The sequence below is a fragment of the Homo sapiens genome, chromosome 17 (assembly GCF_000001405.40).
Source record: "Homo sapiens chromosome 17, GRCh38.p14 Primary Assembly".
Classification (NCBI taxonomy): Eukaryota; Metazoa; Chordata; class Mammalia; order Primates; family Hominidae; genus Homo; species Homo sapiens.
The window spans coordinates 44,597,115-44,605,442 of NC_000017.11; the positions used below are offsets into that span (position 1 = coordinate 44,597,115).

At 51.4% G+C, this 8,328-nt stretch overlaps 1 annotated feature.

The window, feature by feature from the left end:
• Positions 665-1,242: an enhancer, noted in NCBI's record as "H3K4me1 hESC enhancer chr17:42675147-42675724 (GRCh37/hg19 assembly coordinates)". NCBI's record gives its function as "activates a minimal SCP1, AML or CMV promoter by ChIP-STARR-seq in naive H9 embryonic stem cells {active_cell/tissue: H9 hESC(naive)}" and the evidence as "EXISTENCE:reporter gene assay evidence [ECO:0000049][PMID:30033119]".

The window sequence follows — 8,328 nt, forward strand, 5'->3', positions numbered from 1 at the left end:
TTACTGCTTGATCTCTTTGTTAATGTGGCGTCACCTGCATGAAGGATCTGATTCATGAGATCTGTATTGTTAAAAAACAAAAACACTTCAAAGAAGCAAATAACTTCCCAGGGCTATTCAAATTATCTTCCCAACGAGGTGGAATGAAGAAGACGACCACTCATTTTGTAGAAAGTAGAGATACTAGTAACAGGGAAGACCAGATTAACAGGCTCATTAGAAGGATGAACTGGGAAGGGGTCCACCACCATCATTTTTGTAATTCAGTCAGTTAATAAACAATTACTGCTTTCAAATTGAAATATATATATATGTATATACATATATGGCACATAATACATGTAAGCTATATATTAATACATTATGAGTTATAATACAATTATGGTTAACATTTTATTGACTTCCTACTTTGTCAGACCTTTTCTATACGTTACCTCTTTTGTTCACAACACCCTGCCAAGCAGGGCTTATTGTCCCATTTTATTTAGTTTTATTTCATTTCATTTCATTTTTTGAGACAGGGTCTCACTCTGTCACCTAGGCTGGAGTGTATTATCCCATTTTATATATGAGAAGTCAGACTCAGAGAGGTTAACTTGCTCAATCACACAGCTAATAGGAGGCAAGGCCAGCAGCAACCTTAGGTCTCAGGCTAACTTCAAACCCATTCTTTTCCAGGCTTGACACTGTAGGGAACATGAAGAATAAAAGAATACATAGTCAGTGCTGTCAAAACACGGATCACCCAGCAGCCCGGACATGGCGCACACACGCTAATAGTTAAATAACAGCATGACATTGCTTTTGGGGGGCTGTTACCAAGCAGTGTGGGTGATGGCTCCGGGAGTGGGACTGGCAGTAAATGTCACAGGCTTGGAGGAAGAAGGCCACCAAGGCCAGCAGGGACCACTGATGACTGCACAGAAGAAGGGGACATAAAGGCTGGGCTGGATTGGCAGTGTGGGAAGAGCAGGAGCAGAGGTTCACGGTGCACACGGCAGTGAGCCCATCAGATTGGCTCACTCCATCCTGACAACTTCTGTCCCCCGACTCCCCAACCCTGTAAATGGGCCCACCTTTCACATTTGAGGACTTGGGGCAAAAGTACACATAAGAGGCCTCAAACAAAATTTCTAAATATTTAAAACATATAAATCAAGCAAACAAACTTAAATAAAAATGTATCCTATCCTCTTACCTTGACAAATATCCTTTCATAATGACTGGAGTTGTGCACTGGAACATGGCGGTGCTGCCTCCACCCTCTGGCCTACCCCCACTTTCCTCTGCTGTGCCCCTGAGGGGACACTTCAGTCAGCCCTGTGGGCAAACTCCTCCCACCCCTGTACGACAGCCATCCCTAGACCACCCCTCAGCCCAAGGGCATGCGCACTTGCAGCTTGGTCGGCCCTCAGGAGGATGGACAGGGCAAAGGCTTCCTCAGGCCTTGGAAATAGGCTGAGGTCACTTGGATGGGGAATTCTGGGGACCAGGAGACGGCCAGGACTGGAGTGAGTCCATTGAGGCCCTCACCCAGGTGCAAAAATGAAGGTACACACATACAACAAAACTCAGTAATAAACATAGGTGATTTTTTTTTTTTTTTTTGAGACAGGGTCTCACTTTGTCACCCAGGCTGGAGTGCAGTGGCGCAATCTCAGTTCACTGCAGCCTCTATCTCCTAGGATCAAGCAATCCTCCCACCTCAGCCCCCTACATAGGTGGGACTACAGACATATGCTGCCACACCTGGCTAATTTCTCTGGTTGTTGGGGTAGAGATGGGGTTTCACCATGTTGCCCAAGCTAATCTCAAACTCCTAGCCTCAAGCAATCTTCCCGCCTTAGCCTCCCAAAGTGCTGGGATTATAGGGGTGAGCCACTGCACCCAGCAGATAGAGATGATACTTTAATGCAATATTTTAAAAATCAAAATTAATGTAAAAATCCATAATAAACAAAATATCAAATTTTTAAAGACAGGATCAGTATTACTGATTTTATTTATTTATTTATTTATTTATTTATTTATTTATTTTTGCCTCAGGTTCCAATAAGATCTTACACAGCTCTGGGCCAGGAACCCAGAGCATGTGTAGAAGGGAGGGCGAAGTGGGCTCTGCAGGCTCTGGGCATGCATATCCCAGGGAATCTTTGCTCTGTGGGGCTGGGAGCAACCAGAAGCTCCCAGAACAGGCTGCAGAACAGGGACCTGTCTTGCCTGGAGCCTCAGTGTGGTATTACAGTAACTGAGAGCTCCGTGAGGGCTTCAGCATCTAGTGGAGTCTCTAGCACTTAGTAGGCCCTCAGTGAGAAATTCTTGAATATGTAAATGAATAATGCTGACTTTTCCAAAATCACCATTGCAGTCATATTCATTACAAGGGTTACTAGGACAGCCGCTCTCAGCACAGCACGCTGGCTGGAGGCTGAGTCAGGGCATGAGTAGGGGCTGGCGAGAGTGGAGACAGGGAACCTGCCAAGACTTAGAGGAGACTGGGCTAGGATCTTGGAACGGGTGATATGGAGGTCAGGGGTCTCAGTGACTCAACAGAGCAGGGTTTAGAAGGCAGGAGGGAGGGGGAGGAGAGGCAGGATTATGGTGAGGGATGGAGGGGGAGGGCAGAGCTGGCTCAGGGAGGACCAAGGGGCAGGCCTGGGAGTGAGCAGGAGTGGAAGCAGGGAAGGGAGTGGTAGACCCCTGCAGGAAGAGCCCAGGGCTCTGGAAGGAGTGAGGGGTGTGGGGGGCATGTTTCTGCTCAGTCAACAGAGGCCTGGAGAATCAAAGGCTCCCAGAAGCCCAGACCAGGTCAGTTCATCAAGGAAGGTTCTCGGCAGCCCTCTCCCCATCCTCTCGGGTTACACACTGGTGTTCCCTATTTCAGGCCCTCGCACTTGCCAATGGCCCAGCCTCTCCTCCCCTCTCCTGCCCCCACTTTCCCCAGGGAGGGACAAACACACTTGATATATGAAGTGTTTCCACCTAGACGCTTGGGAATCCCACAAAGCCTTCAGTGTGTGACAGCCCCTCCCCCTTCCTCCCCCAGCCCTTTCCTCTCCTCCTTCTGTCTGGGAGTCTGGGAATGGCTCCTTTACCTGGGAGTGTCACAGAGAAGGGGGGACATGCGGTGGTTGGGGATGTTCCTGGGCCTCTTAAGCCCAAGATCGGGTGGGTGAATGTGGTGAGTGTTGGGGGCGCAGGGTGATGATCGCTGGCTTCTCTGGCTTCCCAGAGGCTGGAGGGGCTTGGTTTCTATGACTGCCTCTCTGCCCACCCTGCCCACCTCCCTCCTTGCTGCTGATGCCCCATCCACTGGCCCGGGGGAGTGTTGCACACCCCGCTTTCCTCCACATAGGAACCCAGAGGAGAGAGAAAACCAAATTGTCAAATGCTCCCTATGTGCTAGGCATTGTGCTAGGCCATTTTACAAAAATAATCTCAGCTCCTTCCTGGAAAGCTTGTGAGAGTTTACAGCTGAAGACACAGCGAGGCGAGTATGGCACACTGATCAAGACCATGGACTTGGATGGCAGACAGACCCGGGACCAGATCCCAGCTCTTGGCCTCATCAGCTCTGTGAATGGGGCAAGTTTCTTTACCTCTCCTCCCCCAAGCCTCAGTTTCCCCATCCCTAAAGGAAGGATGTACAGCCCTCCACAGAGTTGTTAGAAGTATTAAATAAGATGGGTGTGGTGTCTCACACTTGTAATCCCAGCACTTTGGGAGGCCAAGACGGGAGGATCACTTGAACCCAGGGGTTCAAGACCAGCCTGAGCAACACAGGGAGACCTCCTCTCTACAAAACATTTACAAATTAACCGGGCATGGTGGTGCATGCCTATAGTCCCAGCAATGTGGGAGGCTGAGATGGGAGGATCACTTGAGCCTGGGAGGTCGAGGCTACAAAGAGCCATGATCGTACCACTGCACTCCAGCCTGAGTGACAGAGCAAGACCCTGTCTAAAATAAAATAAATGATATTGGCCGGGCGTGGTGGTTCACACCTATAATCCCAGCACTTTGGGAGGCCAAGGCGGGCAGATCACTTGAGGCCAGGAGTTTGAGACCACCCTGGGCAACATAGCAATACCCCATCTCTACCAAAAATACAAAAGTTAGCTGGGCATGGTGGTGCACGCCTGTAGTCCCAGCTACTTGGGAGGCCGAAGTGGGAGAATCACTTGAGCCCAGGAGGCAGCAGTTGCAGCGAGCTGAGATCACGCCACTGCACTCCAACGTGGGTGACAGAGCAAGACTTTGTCTCAAAAATAAATAAATAAGACATTGTTCATGAAATACCTGGCAACCAGCCTTGGTAGGTGCTGAGATTATAATTGTTGCCACAGTCCCATCCCCGTCTCTGGGCGCTCTCTGCCAAGGTCTGTCTCAGAAGGCAGGGGCCGTGGGCCCTGTGGCATAGGCTTGCCCCTGGAGAGCGGGGTTGGGCAGAGGAAGCACCTGCAGGGGAGAATGCCAGTCCCAGGAGCCCTCAATGGAAGCACAGCGACAAAGGCGATGGTATACTTGACTCCAAGAGCCTGAAGTCAGGGGGCGCGGGGGACACAGACATCCCACCTCCCACCCACAAGCAGGGGAGGATCCCTGACATCGCAGTGGGTGGTGGCTCTGGCCCAGGGCTCCTCCTCTGACTCAAGGAGAAGCCGCAGCTGGCCTTGGGCCACACCAGCCACTTACATGGCCCACACACAACCTGTGTACATCACTCTAACTCCTCTCGCCGCCAGCGGTACAGTGAAGAGGGGAAACGGGAACACGTGGATGTTGGGAATAACGTGTTACGTGTGAATGAGCCAGTTCGCATTGAGCCTGCAAGCGCAGGCACCCGGCACCCATGTGGGGAGTACATGTGGGGTGTATGTGCCTTACATTTTATTTCTACATGTGGGGGTGCATGTGTGCGTACATGCTTGTGGCCGCACAACTCCCAGACTCACCCTGGGGTCTCCGGGTGCATGTGTGTGCCATGTGCCAGGATGTCTGCATGTGTCCACGTGTGTGACTGCTTGTCAAACAAACTCCCTGGAGCTAGGGCTCTGCAGGAAGGGTCAGACGGCAGTCTGAGACACTTTTCATGTGTCAGGAAAACCAGGCTCCCCTTTCAGGAAGCCTGCCCAAGGAAAATAAACTAGCCCAGCTCCTGGGGCAGAGGGGGAGGGCGCAGGGGGTGGGGAAAGAGAGAAGGTGGCTGAGACGGGTGGCGGGGGTCACAGAGCAAGGCCGTCAAATGATGCCCCTTTGACCCCACTCCATCGACCCTCCTGGAGACCCTCTTCCCTCAGCTTTGTCCTAAGGGGGCTTTGTCCTCTTTCTCTTCTTCAGGCTCTGTTTTCTCCTCTCCATCTCTCTTCTGTCTCCACGATTTCTTCTCTGCCTTCTTTTTCATTTGCCCTTCTCCCTCCATGTTTCTCTCTCCCAACTCCCATTACTTTGCAGCTGGCGGCCTGCCAGTCACCTGTCTCCTTTCTTATCTCCACTGCAGAAGCCAAAGCCGTGGTCTACCTATGAGAACAGGTGGTCAGAAAATCCCGAAGGCCACGGTGCAGGTTTTTATTAACTTTTATCCTTCGATGCCAGGTTGGCTGCAAGTCTCTGGCCATTACCTCCAACATGGAGGTGATCTTTCATTCACCAACTGGCTAATTGATGTCATCTTTTATCTTATATTGATTAAGCACCTGGTTTGTGCCAGGCACTGTGGTTGGCTCTAGAGCTGCCGTGGTGGGCAATAAGCGGGAGAAATGAATGGGTTCTGCCTCGCAGAACTTTCAGACTGATGGGGAGTCAGAAATTAGTCAAAGTCACACACAAATGTAAAAGTAACTTAAGGGCTGCAGACAGAGGGGTAAATACCTGTATATAAGAGCCGCTAATGAGGGAATTAACATAGGAGGATGGGAAAGGTTTTGTAAGGAAGTGATAGCCTAGGTTGGAGGGAAAAGCAAGAGTTAATCAGGCCAAGGAGTGGAGGGGGTGAGTGTGCATGAGGCAGCTGGTGGTAGGCAGAGGGAACAGCAAGTGAAAAGGCCCTGAGGCCAGAGGAACAAAGTCCATTTGTGTAACTGAAATAAGGCCTGGAAGAGAGGGGGATCTGGATGAGGCTGGAACAGTAGCCTGGGCTACATTAGGGGTCATTCATCACCACGGAAATCATCTTGATTAAAAAGCCAATATGTTTTATAAGTGTGATCTATTTTATAATTTTTGGCTTTAGAGATGGTCACTGTCGCCCAGACTGGAGTGCAGCCCCAACCTCCTGGGCTCAAGAAATCCTCCTGCCTCAGTCTCCTGAATAGCTGGGACTATAGGCATGCTCCACCATGCTTAGATGATTTTTTTTAAATTTTTGGTAAAGATGGGGTCTTGCTATGTTACCCAGTCTTGTCTTAAACTCCTGGCCAAAAGCAGTCCTCCCACCTCAGCCTCCCGAAGCACTGGGATTATAGGTGTGAGCCACTGCACCCAGCCTTATAATTTTTAGAAGTTAAGAAAGTATAATTTATCTTTTTTTTTTTTTTTGAGACTGTGTCTTTGCTGCCCAGGCTGGAGTGCAGTGGTGCAACTGTGGCTCACTGCAGCCTTGCTCTTCTGGGCTGTGGTGATCCTCCCACCTCAGCCTTCTGAGTAGCTGGGACTGCAGGCGTGCACCACCACGCCTGGCTAAATTTTCTATTTTTTGTAGAGATGAGGTTTTGCCATGTTGCCCAGGCTGGTCTCCAATTCCTGGCCTCAAGCAATCCTCCTGTCTCAGCCTCCCAAAGTGCTGGGATCAGAGGCATGAGCCACCGTGCCCGGCCAGAAAGTATAAATTAATCAAGAAGTTTTAAATAATTTTATGTTTTTTTTCACCACAACACCCTCCACACGTATTTGGAGAACAATGGGGCACAAACCTAGGCAAGAGTGGAAAATATTAATGCATGGTCCACATAGGATGCTTGGTCCACTTATAATTCCCAGAATCTGTGCAGATTGAGGGCCATTGTGCTGGAGAAGAGAGGAAAGGAGGGAATAGAGCGTCACCCCAGTGTGTTGCAGGGGCCTGGGCCAGACAGAAGAAACCAGGCTGAGCCCTGTTCTACACCTCCCCACTCGGACTCCCACACAGGGTCCCTCCCACCGCAGGGTCTGACCCTGGCCCTCTGCCATGCCCACCATGTGCTTAGCCCCTAACAGCTGGGGTGGCTTGTGTTTAGGGAGGGGAGAGGGATGAGACAGCTGACCAGAGAGGGGAGAAAGAAGCATTCAAGTGCTACTCAAAGTGGGGCCTGTGCACCAGCACCAGCAGCATCGCCTGGGAACTCACTGGGAATTCCAATTCTTAGCCCCCACCCTAGACCTGCTGATCCAAAATCTCTGAAGTGAGGCCAGCCTTACAGCCCCGTGTGTTTTCACAAGCATACCAAGTGATACTCAGGCACTGCTGAAGTTGAAGGACCCACACTGGAGAGGGCAAAATGTTGGAAGTGCTCAAGGCTGAATCAGCGACAACAGGAGTTGAGTCCTCCATCCAGCTGTCATCTGTTGCCACCTCCTCTATGTCACCCAAGCCATTTTCATGGAAGCCTTTTTGTTGGAAAGGCACAGAGATGGACATGACCTGGCTGTCTTAGGCCAGCCCCTCTTGATTCTCTCCCCAGTCTCTGTCTAGCCTCTTGTTCTGGGTGGGTGGAGAGTACCCCCCTCATTCTCGTCCATGAGTGTGGGGATGGGAGAGGAAGCGTCTCAGGAGGGATGTCAGGCAAGGCTTCCTGCAGACCCAGCTGTCCCTTCCAATCCACATCCCACCCCCTCACCCAACTCCCTCACAACAAGCACACCCAGCAGCTGCAGCAACCACCCTGGCCCAATGCTGGCCCCAATGTCCCCAAGCTCAGGGGAAGTGGAGTTCAACCCGTTCTTCCATGACTGCTCCTCCCAGGCCTCCCCAAGGAACCCAGACCCACCACAGCCTGAACCAAGACATCTCCTGAACCCTTTTCTCCCTCCCCTCAAATATCCTCTTCTGGAGGGCATTGGGAAAAGCTGCCAAAAGTCAGGTCCTCACCCGAGAACCCCCAACCTGAGCCCCAAACCTAGCTCCTCAGGTCACAGCCACTCCCAGCGAACACCACCCCTCGCTGTGGGTGGGATCCCATCGCCACACAGGCCAGGCAGCTGCCTGGACCACCTGCCCCAGGAGAGACCAAATGGAAGGCCAAGAGGAAGGGCAGCGGTGGGGAGGCTCTGGGGGAGAGGAAGCGGGGGCGAAAGGGCTGGGGCCAGGAAGTCTAGGATGTGGGAGCTGGAAGGGATCTGAGGGATCAGCTC